General features: G+C 42.5%; 1 protein-coding gene across 6 annotated transcripts in view, besides 1 other annotated feature; it reads left to right on the top strand.

Annotated features, from left to right (window-relative positions):
- PDE6A (phosphodiesterase 6A) overlaps window positions 1-19,943 on the top strand; it is an 86,841-nt gene that overhangs the window by 25,078 nt on the left and 41,820 nt on the right. For 3 of the 6 annotated variants that reach the window (NM_001410788.1, NM_000440.3, XM_011537650.3), the window contains 3 exons: window positions 4,709-4,773; window positions 12,338-12,404; window positions 16,021-16,068. In NM_001410788.1, coding sequence (NP_001397717.1) covers window positions 4,709-4,773; window positions 12,338-12,404; window positions 16,021-16,068 — 180 coding nt within the window. Of the gene's footprint in view, window positions 1-4,708; window positions 4,774-12,337; window positions 12,405-13,864; window positions 14,649-15,854; window positions 16,069-19,943 lie in introns of those variants that run through there. The other 3 variants (XM_011537651.2, XM_011537654.2, XM_011537653.2) reach the window with 3 other exon arrangements.
- Window positions 3,776-4,070: a silencer, noted in NCBI's record as "tiled region #12732; K562 Repressive DNase matched - State 7:EnhWF". NCBI's record gives its function as "represses a minimal TATA promoter and a strong SV40 promoter by Sharpr-MPRA in K562 cells {active_cell/tissue: K562}" and the evidence as "EXISTENCE:reporter gene assay evidence [ECO:0000049][PMID:27701403]".

Genomic DNA, 19,943 nt, shown 5'->3' with positions numbered 1-19,943 from the left:
CAAAGGTACTCTTGATGACTCAGTTTTGACTTTCCAGAGGCTGGTGAATTTGTACATGAATATGGCTTTAAAGACTTTGACTGAGATACAGTGAGTGGAAAAAGCCTAGTTACCCAAAGCACACTGATCTTTTTGTTAATTCTGGGAAAGAAAAACTTTGCAGTTTTTCTCCTGTGGGATTCCAAAAAAAATGTCCATTTCTTTTTTTGAGATGGACTGTCACTCTGTTGCCCAGGCTGGAGTGCAGTGGCATGATCTCAGCTCACTGCAACCTCCGCCTCCTGGGCTCAAGCAATTCTCCTGCCTCAGATTCCCGAGTAGCTGGGATTACAGGTGCCCCACCATTATGTCTGGCTAATTTTTATATTTTTAGTAGAGATGAGGTTTCACTATGTTGGCCAGGCTGGTCTCAGACTCCTGACCTCAAGTGCTCTGCCCACCTCCGCCTCCCAAAGTGCTAGGATTACAGGCGCGAGCCACCGCACCCGGCCTAGAAATGTCCATTTCTAACCTTTCTAAAGACTCTCGTGGGAATCCCTGGGTAGGACAGCAGCCAGGCCCAGGAAGCCCTGAGCCTGCCAGGAGTACAGTGAGCAGCACAGGCCCAAGGACAGGTGGCCCTAAGGCAAGACAAAGATGTCAAGAAGGTCCTGGAACTCTGCCTCCTCCCCCTCGCAGGCAGAAACTTATCTCCTAGGAAATAAGTGTTCTAGAAAGCAGCCACCTTTGCTTTCTAGAACTGCTTATAGGGTACAACTTGACTATTTAAAAATATTTTTAAGAAAGTTTGTTGTGCCAGGTGCAGTGGTTCATGCCTATAATCCAAGAACTTTGGGAGGCTGAGGCAGAAGGATCACTTAAGGCCAGGAGTTCAAGACCTGCCTAAGCAACAAAGTGAGACCTTGTCTCTAACTAAAAAAAAAAGAAAAAAAGAAAAGTAGCCGGGCATGGTGACGCGTGCCTGTATTACCAGTTACTTGGGAGGCTAAGATAGGAGGATTGCTTGAGCCTGGGAAACTGAGGCTCCAGTGAGCCAAGATTGTGCCACTGCACTCCAGCCTGGGTGACAGAATGAGATCCTGGCTCAAAAAAAGTAAATTAATAAAATAAAGCAAAATAAAAAATATAAAAAAAGAAAATTGGTTTGTATGTTGGAAAAATAATATATGAGCACAGTGAAAAGTTCACTCCATACGAAATTAAGTGCCACCTTCCTCCTAGTCAGCCCCTGTGAAGCAGCTGCTGTTAGCAAACTCTCTTTGCAGGAACATTTAGGTATATCCAGATATCCACAGAGAAGTATACGTATTCCACCACCACCACTCTGCACTAACGCTATGATTCTATTTTGTGCCTTGCTTTTTTCACTTAACTGAATATTTTGTCACCTTTCCCTTTCAGCACAGGCACAGCAATCTTGCTCTGGAAACGTGTGGTGTCCACTGTACAACCACTTTCCTAATAAGAGACCTTACATCATCTCCAGACTTTTTAAAGCAGTCTAGCTAAGACCCTTGGACGGGGCAAAAAATGCTTTTACCCACATTTGGGAGTATATCTCTAGGATCCATCACCACATGTGGGTCAAATAATATGTCTGTTTTGATCTTTGAGAGATATTGCTACCTATCTTATCATAACCTTAGAATCATAGCTTGGAGGGTCTTTATGGATTTTCTAAAACAATTTTCTTTCTCCCCCATTGTCCTTAGAACCTTAGAGTTCCACAGTAGCTGCCTTGACCAGGGGTTAATAGAAAAGGAAGAGGACAGGAAAGGGAGTAAGAGAGAACAAAGGGGCAGGGACTCTATATACCCGGCCCTGATTCCATTAGGACAGTTTCATATAATTAGCTTCCATGCTTTGCTTGGGGAAAGAGAGCTGCTACTGAACAGCTGTAGCAAACACATACCACCATTCCAATTTTACAGCCAGAGAAACTGAGGCCTAGAGAACACCCATAGTAGGACCGAAACTAGAACAGGAATCCTCACTCTAGGTCTAGTCTCAGCTCCATTTTATTTATTGTATTTCAGCGTTCATCTAGTCTCCCCTTGGATGCTTCCTATTTTAGGGAGCTCACTACCCCTGGGGGTAGCCTGTGCCATTGGAGTGGTTTCAGCTTCTGCCTTTTGTTTAACCAGAGCTCGCCTCCTAGAAGTATTCAGTCAGTGCAGCTGCCGCCAATGCTAGGCTTTGAGCAGCAGAGCCTCTCCCTTATGAGTTGGAAGTTGACCATTGCTGATTGCCCGTCAACCAAACAGACCTTCAGACATCTTTAACTGGTTCAGGAATTCCTCTTTGTGGAGGTTCTGAGTCGGGAGGCTTGGGGTGGAGCCCAGGTATCTGCACTGAAATCTCTAGGGAGGTACTTCTCAAAATACCTGTAGTAAAGGAACAGTTTGGTTTTTCTTTTTAAAAAAATTTCCAATTTTTTTTTGTGTGTGTGAAAAACACACTCAAGAAAGGGGAGTGCAGGCATACTCAAGAGAGTGAGTCACGCCTCCAGTATGTTTTGATTGCTACTTTTAAAAATATGATAAAATATATTCCTAGAAAAACAAAATTGTATAAAGACAGACAAAATATAAACTTGGATCATGCCACTGCACTTGTACTCCAGCTTGGGCGACAGAGCAAGACTCCGTCACAAAAAAAAAAAAAAAGATATCCCCTTTTATTCAATTAAACAGACCTGATCTAACTCAGTCAAATTGTTACAAAACTTCCTAAGTGACTCTCAGTTTCTGTTTTTATCTTCTCCTGGAATAGTAAAGAGTTCACAAGACAGGCACCGGCCCAGGGATTACACTCTGAGCAACCCTGTTCAAGGTGACAGTGATGCGGACAGTAAAACACTAAGCTGTTAACGTTAGGTGACATAGAGGAAAAGCACTGAGCTGGGAATTAAGGACCCAGGTTCTGATTTTGGTTCACTGTCTTGCTACAAGTGAGTCCTTTCCTCTCTCTGTGTCTCAGCTTTCTCATTTGTGAAATAGTTGCTCATCACGCTTGGGCATACAGAGGACCTAAGAAAAAGGTAATAGAATTTCCCCTGGAGAGCTAGGGGAATGGAGTCACATGCCAACATCCAATTGCATGCTAGAGAGTAATGTAATTGAAGAGCTCTGCTTTAAGAGAATGGGAATTTTAACAATGCAAGGAGGCGGGAGAGATGGAAGAGGCAGAGAGTTAGTTTGGGGTCATGAAACATGATGAGAAGGTAGGTCTGAAGTGACGACACAGCAAAGAGAACAGCTGAGTGGTAGGCATGAAGGAGAAATGGGGCCATGACATAGAGATGCACCCTGCAGGGAGGATGGCTGGTTGGCTGTGATTTTAAATGGGATGGGAACCTCCTGACCACTTCCCCATCTCCCTAGATTCTGGCAGCCGTCTTTATCTCTTTCTTCTTGCACTTATCAAAGTCAAAATTAAAACGCAGAGACGAATCTCTATATTTAATGTTTTGGGGCAAAGGAAGACTTGCAATTTGGGGCATACATGCAGACTAAGTAGTCTTCAGTATGTCCAAAGAAAAAAGAGAAGGTAGACGGTTTTATAAAAAAGAGAAATGAGGCCGGGCATGGTGGCTCATGCCTGTCATCCCAGTGCTTTGGGAAGCCAAGGCAGGAGGATCACGTGAGCCCAGGAATTCGAGGCTACAGTGAGCCATGACTGTGCCACTGCACTCCAGCCTGGGTGACACAGCAAGACCCTGTGTTTAAAAGAAAAAAGAGAAATATTACATGTTGCTCTCTGAGAAAGTTCATTGACACCAGTAAGGGTCTGGGGAGCTGGCAAGTTTTGACTGATGAGTAATGGCAGTGGGTAAAATTAGTCCTAGAGTTGCAGCAGGTTGTTTCAGCAACTATCAGATAAAACTGGTTTCAAGTCACAGCAGGTAGCGTAAGCAGCCAGGCATGCAAAGAATTACATTCTGGGAGCAATGCTAGTGTCCTGAGTACTTTTTTGCCCCCTGGCTTCTCAACTCTCTTTTATTTGGGTATGACAAAAATGTCCCAACTTGTGTGATCAACTTGCACACAATCAACCTCCAGATCCTCTTAGAGGATTTCCTATCCCTCTTCCCAGCCTCAGATCCCAGCCCTCTTCCTGATCACTGTGAGCTGCCTCCAAGGTGAAGCACGCTGAATTCTGAGGGTCAGCAGAGGACAGGGAGCACCAGAAGGCAGCCCAGGCACATCCTTGGAGGGAGTTTATGGCCAGGCTTGGCACTTCCTGAAAACCATGGGGCAAAATATGTACAACTACTGTATATCAATAAAAACATTAATTTATTAAAACAACAAAAACTACGGGGCATACGATGGTAAAAGGACAAAGTTGGTTTCAGGGACATACTCCTGTTGAACTTCTATTTGACTCTTGAAGGTATAATTTTTTGGCTGGGTGCAGTGGCTCACGCCTGTAATCCCAGCACTTCGGGAGGCTGAGGTGGGCAGATCATGGGGTCAGGAGTTGGAACCCTGACTCTGCTAAAAATACAATAATTAGCCGGGCATGGTGGTGCGTGCCTGTAGTCCCATTTACTCGGGAGGCTGAGGCAGAAGAATAGCTTGAACGCAGGAGATGGAGGTTGCAGTGAGCTGAGATCAAGCCATTGCACTCCAGCCTGGGCGACAAAGTGAAACTGTCTCAAAAAAAAAAAAAAAAAAAAAAGTATAATTTTTCTCTCTTTTGCCAGGAAATTAACTTTTACAAGGTCATTGACTACATCCTGCATGGCAAAGAGGACATCAAAGTCATCCCGTAAGTTTCACCTGTCAAAAGACAAAATGACAACAAATTAGCTTAAAGATCTCAATTGGCTTTATCGGTGATTCTGGAATTGGGCAACACTTCATTCCATAAAATACATAAGTGTTCTGACAAGGTTGACTTTATAGACAGAGAAGGACTGAAGAAAGACAAGCAAAGATCAAAGAACATGTTAATCATTTTTAAGATACTTTTCTTATAAGGTGGGAGAGGGAGATAGAACAGTAGAAAAATAACTGATTAATGTCAGGTTACTGCTACCTTTTTTTTTTTTTTTTGGTGTAAGGATTAAAGCAGAGGAACTTCATTATCATGCCTATTAAAGACTGGAACAGGACTTTTTGGGAAATTGGCGTTTACCTCTCTCCTAATCTCTAAGAGGATCAGAAAACAACTTAGTTTAGATTTGGTGAAGTGGAACGTTATCACGGTGACTCCACACTGATTTTTAGTTTGGTTTGTTGGAGCTTGGTGCAGAGCTTTGTCCAAAACAAGGGCCTCCTATAGTTTTTATTTTAACACATCTCAAAACATGGAAAACTGCAGGTACATTATCAACTTCCAAAAGATACTCATTCCAAGATCAACACTGACCAAATCCAATGAGACCCCACAGTTGGTTAGAGGCAGGGAGAGTGGGAAGGAGGCAGTGTGAGACGGTAGAGAGACTCAGAGGGTGAGCAGTGAGGCCCAAGAAGGGGGAAGACTTGACCAGAGCCTTGATGAGGGCTACAGTGGACCAGGTTGTGAGTCAGGTGCTCTGAGTCCCAATCTCACAGCCAGGGCCAGTAAGTGGTTTGTCTGGACCTTAGAGTCCCATGTATAGAATGAGACTGGGATGAAATCAGGGATTTTCAACTGTTTTCTGCAGTGCTACTCTTCTGGTACTTGAAGGAGGCAAAGCAAAAGCAGGAAGCTGCAAAGGAACTGACTCAGCCCCCACAGAAAGCCTATTCTCAATGTCCCCTCATGTGTGACCAAGGAAGACAGTGAAAAGAAAAGGAAAGAATGCTCTCAGTCCTGCATCTAGGTAGCTGAGACTCAATGACCATTAGAAGATTTGAACGGTTGCAAACTGTTTAAATATGGGCTTATACTTTTTTGGTCAGTAGACCTTTCTCAAAAACCTAGTTACCTTCTTCTCTGTTTGAATCCTCTCCACGTGCTAAAAGCCACATCCATGGTTCTGTCCTGAGACATGGCCCTTTTTCTCAACTTAACTGCAGAGGCCTTGAGGCTGTAATTCGGTTCGTGGGAGAGCCACACCTTTAGTCTTAGCCCCCACAGCAATTTTGTCCAACTGAAGGGATTTACTGCATGCCAACTTAATCTTCAAGAAGTGGGTGTGATAGGCCATGCTGATTCAGTTTGGTCACCAGACCAAACTGTAGTAATCCCGTCACCCAGATAAACAAGTTCTCAGGGTTGTCTGTTACCGGTGAGGATGAGAAGCTGCCTCAAGTTTCTCAATTTCTAGGTTATCTCTATTCCTTTATTGCTGCCTGCATAAGGACTGATTACCTTATTCTATTCTCTTTTTTTTTTTTTTTTTAAGATGGAGTCCTGCTCTGTCTCCCAGGCTGGAGTGCAGTGGCCGAATCTCAGCTCACTACAACTTCCACCTCCTGGGTTAAAGCGATTCTCCTGCCTCAGCCTCCCGAGTAGCTGGGATTACAGGCACACGCCACCACACCCAGCTAATTTGTGTATTTTTAGTAGAGATGGGGTTTCGCCATGTTGGTCAGGCTGGTCTCAAACTCCTGACCTCAAGTGATTCACCTACCTTGGCCTCCCAAAGTGCTGGGATTACTGGCATGAGCCCTGGCACCCAGCCTGATTCCCTTATTATCTTCTAAAGTTCATCTCTCTTTTTTTTTCTACCTTATCAAAAGCATACTCTTCAACAATTCTGTTTTCTAGCCCCTTTTCTAGCTTCTAGAGCCACAATCTTATTAACTCATTATCTGTCTCTTAAATGGTCACAGGTCGCAATTTTCTGTTTGTCTCTGCTTGACCAGCATCACATCCTACTAGCTTCTGATAACATTCATCTTGTTGCCTACCACCCAGTCCCTAACCTATGTTTCTCGTTTTAGGTTTTTTATTATGGCAGCACCCTGTTTCTGACACAAATCTTTGTTTCAGCCAAGATAGGCCAGGCTCTGCTTTCATAACAAGACCTGGAGACCTGAGTGGTATAAACAACTAAAATTTATTTCACCATCCCAGTATGGGTGCACTGCCAGCTAGCGGGTGTGGTTGGAGATATGGTGGGTGGGTTGTAGTCAGGCAGGAGCCAAGGCTGATAAAGCAGCTGCCATTTTGAACCTTGCAAGATAGAATAACCTTGCCACAGAGAAGAGAGGAAAAATACACACTGGCTCTTAAAATCTCCATCTGGAGGTGACACACACATAGCACTTATACTCACATTTTATTGGTCAAAGCTAGTTACATGGCCACACATTACTTGAGTGGTTAGGAAACGCAGTCTGACCTTGTGCCCAGGATAGACAGCCAGAATGTCTGTAAACATGCAGAATGGCTGTCACAGTATATGCCATCCACACTAACAGAGGGGAAAATTGAATAGTAAATAAATGACTAATCAAACCAAAGGAAGGCAAAATAAAAGTTCAGGAAGAACATAGATGTTGGATGTGGATGCACTGTCTATAGCCCCAGCTAATCAGGAGGCTGAGGCAGGAGGATTGCTTGAGCCTAGGAATTTGAGGCTGCAGTGAGCTATGATTGCACCTGTGAATAGCCACTGTACTCCAGCCTGGGCAACATAGTGAGACACTTTCACTAAAAAAGAGAGGGAGAAAGAAGGAGAGAAGAACATAGAGCAGGTAGGAAAACAAAATGTACATATCAAGGTGAAATTCGAATTCAAATATATCAATTATTTGAATTTTATTTATTTAATTAGCGTGTTAGTGTTTTATAGAGACAGTCTCACTATGTTGCCAGGCTGGTCTCAAATTTCTGGGTTCAAGCGATCCTCTCACCTCTACCTCCCAAAGTGCTGGGATTACAGGTGTGAGCCACCATGCCTGGCCAATAATTTTTTTTTTTTTTTTTTTTTTTTGGTAATAGAGATGGGGTCTCACCATGTTGCCCAGGCTGGCTTCTTCAAACTCCTGAGCTCAAGCAATCCTCCCAACTTAGCCTCCCAAAGTGCTCAGATTATAGGCATAAGCTGATGCAATGGCCAATAATTTAAAAAAATATAAATCAACTAGATGTTCAAGTTAAATGACAAAGATTGCCAGCCTGGTTAAGAAAGAAATACATTACCTTTCATTAATTCTAAGATGCTGTTTTCTACTTTTTGACATTTCTGAAATAGAATTGTGTGATCGTTGTTAGCCATGGCAGACATGACAAAGTTGTTATTGCCTAGGTGTGAACTCGGTCATAACCATAGTCAAAAGACAAAGTTACAATAAGTTTCATCTACAGATCTCAAATGGCTTTATTTGAGATTCTAGAATTGGGCAATGATTTGTTGTGTAAAATAGAGTAAGTGTTCCAATGAGTTGAGCAGAAGGGGTTGGTTTTATAGGAACAAAGAACAAAAAAGCAGATTGGTCATTTTAAAGCTACTTTTCTTGTAAGGCAGGACAGGGAAATAGGACAATAGAAAAATGACTGAGAAGTAAACATCAAGCTATTTCAGGCTACCTTTGTGTGTGTGTAAGGACTAAAGCAGAGGAAACTTCATCATCATGCCAATTGAAACTGGCTTGTTGCCGGGCACAGTGGCTCACACCTATAAACCCAGCACTTTGGGAGGCTAAGGTAGGCAGATCCCTTGAGCTCAGGACTTTGAGACCAGCCTGGGCAATATGGCAAGACCCCATCTCCACAAAAAAATACAAAAATTAGCCAGGCATGGTGGTGCACACCTGTGGTCCCAGCTGCTCAGGAGGCTGAGGCAGGAGGATCACTTGAGCCGGGGAGGTGGAGGCTACAGTGAGCCATGATCGCACCACTGCACTCCAGCCTAGGGGACAGAGTGAGACCCTGTCTCAAAAAAAAAAAAAAAAAAAAAAAGGAAAAAGAAACTGGCTTGTTTGGAAAATTAGCTTTTGTTTCTCCTGATTTCTCAGAAGGTCAGATAGCAATTTAGTGTTTGGTGACTTGGAACTTTGATGTAGGTGACTTCATTTTAATTTTTAGTTCGATCTGTTAGGGCCCCTACTACAGGAGTTTAGTTGAAAACAATGGTCTCCTGTAATTTTCATTTCCCACCATTCATATTGTTGTAAGTATAGTTATTGTTGAGCAACCATTGCTGGTTGCTATTCACATTGAATTCAATTGCCATGTAAAATAATTTTAAAGAGAGATTATGCTATGATTCAGCATTGAAGTGAAAAATTATCTTAACTGGCACAAAATGACAGAAAAAAGTGTGAGATATGATAAAAAATCTGTGTATAAATGCTAAAAGAGCAATGTTGATCTGAATAAAGTAAAAATTACAAGTGATAAGCATTATAGATTACGTTATAGGTTAATTGGCAGCATTTAATCTTTCTCTGCACATACAAAAGTTAGTCAACAATGATTACTCCCAAGATATGATGAAAAATCCTATATCCTGTTTACAGGAGACTAATCTGAAAGAGAATACAAAGAGGTTGAACATAAAAGACTGAAAAAAGACATACCATGCAAATGCTAATCAAAAGAAAACTTGTATAACCATGTTATTAATATCATAGAAAAATAGACATACCAAAGAGCATTAGTAGAGATAAAGAGTCACTTAATGATAAAGGGGTCAATCTACCTCAATATTACAGGAAGATATTACCATTCTAAATTTGCAAGCACCTCATAACATGACCTCAAAAAATATAAAACAAAAACTAACAGAAATACAAGGAGATATAGATGAATCTGTTTGCTAATTGACTTAAGGAGCAAACTAAAATGAACAAACAGAATATAGAATATTTGAATAATCCAATTAATGAATTTAACCTAATAAATATAGATAGAACACTGCTTTAAGCCAGTAACAAAAAGCTAATTAGGAAATTCTCATATGCTTGGGAACTAAGAAATACCCTTCTGAAACCAAACAACCTATGGATAAAAGAATCAATTAATGGAAATTAGAAAATATTCTGAGCTGAAAGATATGAAAATATTACATATTAAAGCCTCTGTAAAAAATAAAAAACCTGTGTGATGCAGTGAAATTGTGCTTAATGTAAAATTTACAGCCTCAAATGCACATGTTTAAATGTAAAAAGGCTGAACAAGTAATGAGCTATGCATCCATCCATATCAGTCAGGGTCTCAACTGAAAATAGGTGTCACATTCAAACCAGGATAATTCGGTGAGGGTTTATTTACAGAGGGACAAATTGCAAAGGTGTGTGTGGAATGAAGGGAACCATAAGAGAATGTGCTATTAGTGGGGGAGCTACTACCACTTCTGGCCCCAAAGGGAAATTTCCATAATCTGGAATAAAAAAGAGTCTCGTAGAGCAAACCATCTTGACAGAAGCATTGACCTTCAGGCAAGGAACATAGCCAGCTCAAAGCAGCCTTGCCAGTGGTTGCCCTGTCTCTATAAAAAAATTTTAAAAATTGGCTGGGTGTGATGGCACATGCCTACAGTCCTACACGTGAGGCTGAGGTGGGAGAATTGCTTGAGCCCAAGAGGTTGAGGCTGCAGTGAGCCAGGTTTGCTCTGCTGCACTCCAGCCTGGGTGACAGAGTGAGACCCTGTCTCAAACAAAACAAAAAACCTAGCCAGGTGTGGTGGCACATGCCTATAATCCTGGCTACTTGGGAGACTGAGGTGGGAGGATTGCTTAAAGCCAGGAATTCAAGAACAGCCTGGACAACACAGTAAGACCCTATCTTGAAAAAAAGAATAAGAGGAAAAAAATTAATAGTAAAACTGACAAAATCAAGAAGAAATATAACAGTTTTATTACAATAAAATATGTATTACAATAAAATAAATCAAAACTTTCTCACAAAGACAACCCAGACCCAGATTTTTTTCACAGGTGAATTCTACTTAGTGGTTTATATTTACTTATTTATATTTTTTAGAGATGGAGTCCCCCTATGTTGCCCAGGCTGGCCCTGGACTCTTGGTTTCCAGTGATCCTCCCACTTCAGACTCCTCAGTCGCTGGGGCTATAGGCACACACCACTGCCTGAGTTCTAATTAATATTTAAGGAACAAAAATGAGTAAAAGTAGTATTTAAGGAACAAAAAATGAGTAAAAGTAAATTTAAAAGTAATTTTTAAAAATGAGTAAAAGACATGAACAGAGGAACTTCACAAAAAAACAATGCAAATGACAAATACATTTATGGAAGTTACTCCATTTTATTAATTTTGTAGAGAAATATGAAAGAAAACTATGATGAGATACCACTAGACCTCACCACAAGGACTGTCATTTAAAAGTCTGAAAATAGTATTGACAGAGATGGAGAACAAAGCAAACTCTAATGGACCACTGATAGGAGTGTTAATTGCTACAATCATTTTAGAAAACAGTTTGGCCTCATCTAGTAAAGTTGAAGATACAAATATCTTATGACTTAGTACTTCTTCTCCTAGGAATATACCATGTAGAACTGAGAGCACATATGCACCAATGTTGACAGCAGCACTGTTTATATTAGCCCCTAAGTGAAGGGATGGGGGATGTCCACCAACAGTTGAATGGATAGATTGTGCTACAGTAGTGTAGGGAACACTGTAAGTCAGTAAAATGAATGAATTACAGCAACGTGACAAGCCAGACAAAATAATATACGTTGTACAGTGCCATCTAAATGAGTTGAAAAATAAGCAAAATTAAACTAACAGGTACAGGAAAACATGCTTAGAAGCTAAAACTCTACAAAAAAGCAAAAATGCAATTTAGCATAATTTCAGAATAATGGTTACCTTTGGGGTTAGGGAGAAGGTTATGATTGCGGGGGAAAGTCAATGGCTTCCAAGGAGCTGACAATGCTGTTCTTGATGTCCATGTGGTTTTATAAATGTTCATTTCCTAATGATTGGTGAAGTTTTTAATGCTTGTTTATGTGTGTGTTTTTTTCTCACAACAAACAAGCAAAAAGTAATAATACAAAAAATTATAGTATTGTGAGGGATAAGTATATAATGCACTTAGCTTAGTGCTTAGCACATGGTAGGAATTCTCCATAGATGAATTTTTTCATTCTCTACATAGTATTAGTAGCTTCTAACTTTATGAGGGAAGTGATGGTGTTTGTTTCTGCTCAGCAGCAGGTAACAATCTGTAGAATGAATGCTGTCTCTTTTCTCAGATGGTGAAACTTGGTGGGCAGACAGTAAAATGTTATATTTGCCACCCTTTCTCCATGTCTAGATTTGAACATTAAGATGGTTGGCCAACATTTTGGGTTTGGTCAGGTGTAGTGAATGTAAGCAGGTGCTGAGAGCCACCTGAGAGCAGGGGGAGCGCAAACACCCAGATTTTAGTCTTTAGTCCAGCAATCCCTGCACTGAGAGTCACCGTTTTGTCTTTGGCCTTCACAGGAATCCACCTCCTGACCATTGGGCTTTAGTAAGCGGTCTCCCAGCTTATGTTGCCCAGAATGGCCTGGTAAGTAATATAACTTTGAAGGGGGAGAGTTTTGGATCACGTGGAAGAAAGAGTGGAAGGATTTCAGATCAAGAAGAGAGTGGAAAAGATGATGGCAAGTGTGGATCTCTAAAAGCCTAATTCTCTTGTTTCTCTCAATTCAGTTGGCAACTGGTCTAAATGAATGAACAGATAATTGACATTTGAGGAAATATCAAATACATAGATAAATAATCCTTAGGTAGAAAGGTGCATAGTCTTGGCCGGGTACAGTGGCTCACGCCTATAATCCCAGAACTTTGGGGGGCCGAGGCAGGTGGATCACCTGAGGTCAGGAGCTGGAGACCAGCCTGGCCAACATGGCAGAACTCCATCTCTACTAAAAATATAAAAATTTGCTGGGCATGGTGGCAGGCGCCTGTAATCCCAGCTACTTGGGAGGCTGAGGCAGGAGAATCACCTCAACCTGGGAGGCGGAGGTTGCAGTGAGCCGAAATCATGCCATTGCACTCCAGCCTGGGCAACAGAGTGAGACTCCATCTCAAAAAAAAATAATAATAAATAAAACAAAATAAAAAGGTCTTAGGCAGATGGGGTCATAAAAGGAGGTTCCAGGTGGAAGGAAGAACATGGGCAAACAACATGGGCATGGAGGACTGGAGCAGTGTGCTGTGTATGGTTAAGTGTGGCTGGAGTATTAGATTTGAGACAGGAAGACAGCAAAACATGAGGCTCAAGAGGGAGGAAGGGGCTAAATTACAACAGGCCTTGGATGCCTTGTCTAAAAGGTGGGATTTTTTTTTTTTTTTTTTTGACAGTGTCTCTGTTGCCCAGGCTGGAATGCAGTGGTGAGAATTTGGCTCATTGCAACCTCCGCCTCCTGGGCTCAAACAATTCTCATGCCTCAGCCACCCGAATAGCTGTGATTACAGGCATGCACCACCACACCCAGCTAATTTTTGTATTTTTAGTAGAGAAATGGTTTTGCCATGTTAGCCAGGCTGGTTTCGAACACCTGGTTTCAAGTGATCCACCTGCCTCAACCTCCCAAAGTGCTGGGATTATAGGCGTGAACCACCATGCTCATCCTCAAAAGGTGGGATTTTAATCTACAGGTGACAGGTAGACAAGCAGGAGATTCACATAGTCAATTTTCATTTTAGAAAGATAACTCTGGCAGGGCATAGTGACTCACGCCTGTAATCCCAACACTTAGGGAGGCTGAGGCAGGAGGATCACTTGAGCCCAGGAGTTTGAGACCAGCTTGGGCAACATACCAAGACTCCGTCTCTACAAAAAATTTAAAAATTAGCCAGGCATGGTGGTGCAAGCCCACAGTCCCAGCTACTCAAGAGGCTGAGACAGGAGTATCCCTTGAGCCCAGGAGTTCCAGGCTGCAGTGAGGTATGATTGCACCACTGCATTCCAGCCTGGGCAACAGAGGGAGACCCTGTCTCTAAAAGAAAAAAATAGAAAGAAAAGAAAGATAACTCTAGCAGCTTCCTGGGAAGTGGATCTGAAGGACTAGGACTGCAGGCAAAGTAACCAGAGCATCATTCAAGTAAGAGGTGATGAGAATCTCAGCAAAGACAGGTGGGGTAAAGAATACTATCATTCTTGCTAACAGCCACTGGGTGCTTACCATGAGTCAGGCACTACCTAAATTTAATACTCACAACAACTTTGACAGAGGCAAGAACACAAGAAGGGGATAATGGGTCAGGTCCAATATTGAGAGGGTGAAGCTGGCAGGGCTTTGTGATTGGTTGTAGGCAGAGAATGGGGAAGAGAGGAGTCAAAGCTAATTTCAGGCTTCTAGACTGAATAGATAGTGCTGTCATCATGCTTGGATGTAAGATGACAAGGTCAGTTTCAGACAAGGTAAAACTATGACATTTTTTAGGAGCAGCTGTCCAGCAGGTAGATGAAGAGACAATTCTGATGCCATGGAGAGAGAGGAGTGTTGGAAGCAGAGATTTGGAAGATATCAGGACCAGATGGTGTTTGAAATTATGAGTGTGGAGGAAGCCACTTAGGGAGAGGGAGACAGGCAGTGGACCTAGGGTGCAATAATGGAGGGTGTTGGCATCTACAGAGTGGGTGGAGAAAGAGGAGGGTGGATAGAGAAACAGAAGGAAGGTTCAGAGGTGTTTGGAGACCCAGGAGAGGGCAGTGTCTCTCTGGAAGTGGAAAGTGGAAAGTGTCTGGAAGGAAGTGGAAAGTTTCAACAGGGAAGGAAATGATGACATGCAGCAGAGTGAACTGGTGAGAGAATTGAAAACCCTCATTGGGTTTGGCACTGGAGAGGTTATTGGTGGCCCCAGTGAAAATGGATTTGGTGGTGAGGTGGAAGCAGAACCAGCATGTGGTTTGCTGAGTAGTGGATGGGTAACGAGAAGGTAAAGAATGCAAAAGAAAAGAGGAGAATGCCTGGGTGCTTGCTATAGGGACCATGATGGATGCAGGAAGGATTTCATTTTCAAGCATGAGAGAGACACCAGCATGCTCACAGATGGAGAGGAAAGAGGGCTCCAAGAACTCTGAGATCAGGAGACAATGATAGTAACTGATAGAGTTGGTCAAAGGAGAGGTCAGAAGGCTGGTGCAGTGAGCAGGCAGTCCTTGGACAGGAAGGAGCAGGTACAGCCTGCTCTCTAAGACCACAGACAGCCCACTCCTGTGTTGTCAGGCAGGGTCACTACAAGCCCAGGTGGTGCCTTTTTGAGAACTAGAAGGCACCGTTTCTCAAGGATGACTAAAGAAAGGTCAAGGTCATGGCGCTGCAAGCAGATCACAGGCTGGATTTCAGCTCCCAGTTGCCCCTCAGCCAGATGCCTGTGTGCAGTTCACACATTACACAACTGTACACGGTGGCCCCACAGTGCTCTGGGGAGATCAGATAAGTGTCATCTGATCCCTTACCAGTAGGGTAAACTGGTTCAATTTTCAGGAGAGGAATCTGGCAATATAGAACCAGAGCTACAACACCTTTCATTTATTATTCTACTTTGGGGTTTATACGCAAAGGAAAAACCCCTACCTGCCCAAACAAAACAGAACCCAAATGTAGTTTTTTATTTTATTTTGAGACAGGGTCTCACTCTGTCGCTCAGGCTGGAGTGCAGTGGCACGATCTCGGCTCACTGCAACCTCTGCCTCCCAGGTTCAAGTGATTCTCCCACCTCAACCTCCAGAGTAGCTGGGATTACAGGCGCACGCCACCACTGCTGGTTAACTTCTGTATTTTTAGTAGAGACAGGGTTTCACCACATTGGCTGGGCTGGTATTTATATTAACTTAAAGACCATGGATACAACCCAAATAAGCAAGAAAAGGGGAACAACAAAATGGGATACCCTCCAGCTACTAGTAATGACAAATTGTAGCCTTAACTTTTTCAAAGCTTAGAAATGATTCAAGAGTGGAGCAAATCATAAAAAGTAATGTTTATAAGGTGACTTTTCTGTCTAGTAGCCTCAGTGAATAATTGAAAACTGTCTCGACTATGTCTACCTGATGAAAAGAATGTGAATGCCTTGGACAAGAACATGGTGTTTCTGAAAATGGTATACAGTGCTTCACTGGGCACCCTCTCAGGCCTAATCACACCTTCATTATTCCCCTTCACTGCTCTCAGATTTGCAACATCATGAATGCGCCTGCGGAGGACTTTTTTGCATTTCAGGTAAGTCATTTTTTATTTGCAGTCTTAGTCATATGATTTTTTTTCCTCCCCAAAGAGCATTAGAATACATTAGAATCCACCCACTCTGCTGGGAAGCAGCCTCAACAAAGTGAAAATATGACAGGATAAAATTCCTGTACCAATGGAAATGGGGACAGAGTTAACTGGGTAATTTCCAAGGTCCTATTCAGTTTTAACATTCACACTCTTTGCTTTCTGGCCTCAGGATCTATTTTTCCCCCCACAAGATATACAATATATAATATACAATATATAATACAACATTATACAATTATACAATATATATACAATTATATAATGTATACAATTATACAATATTGTATACAAGATATACAATATATAATATACAAAAGCTCCAAAGTTTCATGATCAGATTCAGACATTAAAGTTGTATTTCAATAAATATAATCAAAATGCCACTTTGCCAGGTGTTTTGTCGTTGTTGTTGTTTTCTTTTGTTTTTTTTTTTTTTTTTTTTTAGAGAGGGTCTCACTCTGTTGCCCAGGCTGGAGTGTAGTGGTGCAATCATAGCTCATTGCAGCCTCAACCTCGTGGGTTCAAGCAAAACTCCTGCCTCAGCCTGCCAATTAGCTAGACTATAGGTGTGCACCACTATGCCTGACTGGCCTCAGCACCTTTGCTTATGCTGTTCCCTATCATCTCCTGTTCAAATCCTGTTCTACCATCTCCTATTGAAATCCTCTCTGCCCTTCAATGACAACCTCAAATGCTACTACTTCTGTTAAGTTTTATTATGATTCCTCTGGCTGAATGTAATTTCTCTCTCCTTGGTTTTTTTTTTTTTGAGACGGAGTCTCGCTCTGTCGCCCAGGCTGGAGTGCAGTGGCGTGATCTCGGCTCACTGCAAGCTCCGCCTCCCAGGTTCACGCCATCCTCCTGCCTCAGCCTCCCAAGTAGCTGGAACTACAGGCGCCCGCCACTACGCCCGGCTAATTTTTTGTATTTTTAGTAGAGGTGGGATCTCGCCATGTTGATCAGATTGGTCTCGAACTCCTGACCGCAGGTGATCCACCCACCTCGGCCTCCCAAAGTGCTGGGATTACAGGCATGAGCTACCGCGCCTGACCTTCCATTTGATTTTGTCTTTTTTTTTTTTTTTTAACAAATGTTTCATGGAAGATATCTTCTGTGAAAGCATTGGCAAAATGTTAACACTTGCTACAGTGGTGGGCCAGACAAGCATAGTCTTTGTCTCCATGAAGCTCATGATTGCATGGGGAAAGAGACACCGAGTGGTGATTAGGAGAAGGGCAGAGGGGAGAGGAGGGGCATCGCTGGAGATTCTGACTTAATCTGGGAGGAATCAAGAAATATGTCCCCAAAACTTATGTTTGGACAGTAGAGAGAGGGGAGAAGATTGCAGGAAAAAGATGGCTTATTGGAAGGAACTAGAATAAGCCAACAAATCTGAGTGAGAAATTGAGGGAGAGACTGGCAGGAGAAGATTCTAGAGAGGTGGACAGAGACCAGATCCTGCAGGGCCTGGAAAGGCACACCAAGGAACTTGTGTCTCTTATGTATTTTCCTTATGTCATCTTTTATTATCCTTGTCTCCGTGTCAGACTAATTCTTCTTAGTAAAATGTGACTTCCTTTGGTCAAGGTTGGGTCTTATCTTTCTTGATATCCTCAGCTCTGGGGGCCCTGTCACTACTGATTTGGTTTAGCATGCTAGGCTAAACAAATAAAAGAAAAACAAATCATTATCAATCAGGAAATAATTCAGAAGGAAATAAAAATGACTCAGAAAAGTCAGAATTACTTTTTTCTCCTTCAAGAACATTATGAAAAAGCTTAGACAGAAAATAATTCCAAAGTTAAAATTGCACTTCATGTGTTGTGATTTTGACCACATCAATGCGACAAGCCTGAAGACTTGCTGAGGGTTGCTAACCTGACCACAACCACAGCAGAACGTAGTCTTTACTCAAGTCATCCACTTGATTGCAGTTTAACTACATTAGTAAAGCAAATTTAATCTTGTTTTTAGATTCTGGTCTTCCTCCTCCAACTCATACTCCATAAAGTAGCCTAAATAATGTTGTTTTTTGTTTGTTTGTTTTTGTTTTTGTTTTTTTGAGATGGAGTTTCATACTTGTTGCCCAGGCTGGAGTACAGTGGCACGATCTCGGCTCACCACAACCTCCGCCTCCTGGGTTCAAGCGATTCTGCTGCTTCAGCCTCCTGAGTGGCTGGGATTACAGGCATGCGCCCCCATTCTCAGCTAATTTTTTATTTTCAGTAGAGACAGGGTTTCACCATGTTGGTCAGGGTGGTCTTGAACTCCCGACCTCAGGTGATCTGCCTGCCTTGGCCTCCCAAAGTGCTGGGATTACAGGCGTGAGCCACTGCGCCCAGCCCCTGAATAATGTTTTTAAGAAACATAGGTTGGGCCAGGTGCGATGGTTCACACCTGTAATCCCAACACTTTGAGAGACCGAGGCGGGCAGATTACCTGAGGTCAGGGGTTTGAGACCAGCCTGGTCAACATGGTGAAACTCTGTCTCTACTAAAAATACAAAAATTAGCAGAGCGTGGTAGTGGGCATCTGTAATCCCAGCTACTTGGGAGGCTGAGACAGGAGAATCGCTTGAACCCAGGAAGCGGAGGTTGCAATGAGCCGAGATAGTGCCACTATACTCCTGCCTGGGTGACAGAGCAAAACTCCGTCTCAACAAAAAACAAAAAACATAGGTTGAATCAATGATTTCTTTGCTTAAAAATCTTTAATGGTGTCCTCTTTCATTTTCAATAAAATCTGTCTTTTTATCATGGCCTTCAGAGGGAAGGGATTCCATGAAGATTAGGTAGAGTGCTACGGGCAGCCAGGTCTGAGTTCAATACAAACCTGTGCTCTTCAGGCAGTATTCTGCATCCTTTTGGAGACACTCTCTCACCAGGTGCTAAGACAGCTGTTTTACTTTCCAGTATTATTTAAATAATAACAATTATCATCTCACCATGTTAAGAATCTTGAAACTTCAGGATTGGAAGACTCACCTACTCCAGGAAGCCTTCCTTGACTTCCTTTTCTCCTCTGGCTCCCATAGTTCCATAATGTAACTCTCTTAGAGAACTTCCCACACTGCAGTGTAATTGCTGGTTTACCTTACAGATTATGAGCAACCTGAGGACAAGATCTGTGCCTTGGCTTCCTCAGTTTCTAGCTCAGTTTCTTGCACATTCTAAATGTTTGATGAACCAACGGATATATATATATATATATATATACATATATATTTTTCGAGATGGAGTCTCTGTCTGTTGCCCAGGCTGGAGTGCAGTGGCACGATCTCAGCTCACTGCAACCTCTGCCTCCTGGGTTCAAGCGATTCTCCCATCTCAGCCTCCCGAGTAGCTGGGATTACAGGAGCATGCCGCCACATCCGGCTAATTGGCTAATTTTTGTATTTTTAGTAGAGACAGGGTTTTACCATGTTCTTCAGGCTGGTCTCAAACTCCTGACATCAAGTGATCCGCCTGCCTCGACTTCCCAAAATGCTGGGATTATAGGTGTGAGTCGCCATGCCTAGCCTCACCAAAGGCATCTTATAATTGATCAAGAACTTCATTTGTTCAGTGAGGCACAGATTCTTTCCATTCTATAGATGAGAAAATTGAGGCCCCAGGAGAGAAAATGAAGTACTAAAAGTAACATAGGAAGTCAGGGCAAGAGGCAAAATGTGCAGGTTATATCTAGGTTATTAATTCAACGTTACAAGAATCATAGCATTGCCCTTTTAAGCCAGTCCCCTGCCACTGCCTCCCATATCTGAAAGAGAAACACTACCTCTCTGGGATGTTCTGCACATCATTACATCCCTGTAACACACT

The sequence above is a fragment of the Homo sapiens genome, chromosome 5 (assembly GCF_000001405.40).
Source record: "Homo sapiens chromosome 5, GRCh38.p14 Primary Assembly".
NCBI classification, from domain to species: domain Eukaryota; kingdom Metazoa; phylum Chordata; class Mammalia; order Primates; family Hominidae; genus Homo; species Homo sapiens.
This window is presented reverse-complemented; position numbering and strand designations above follow the sequence as displayed.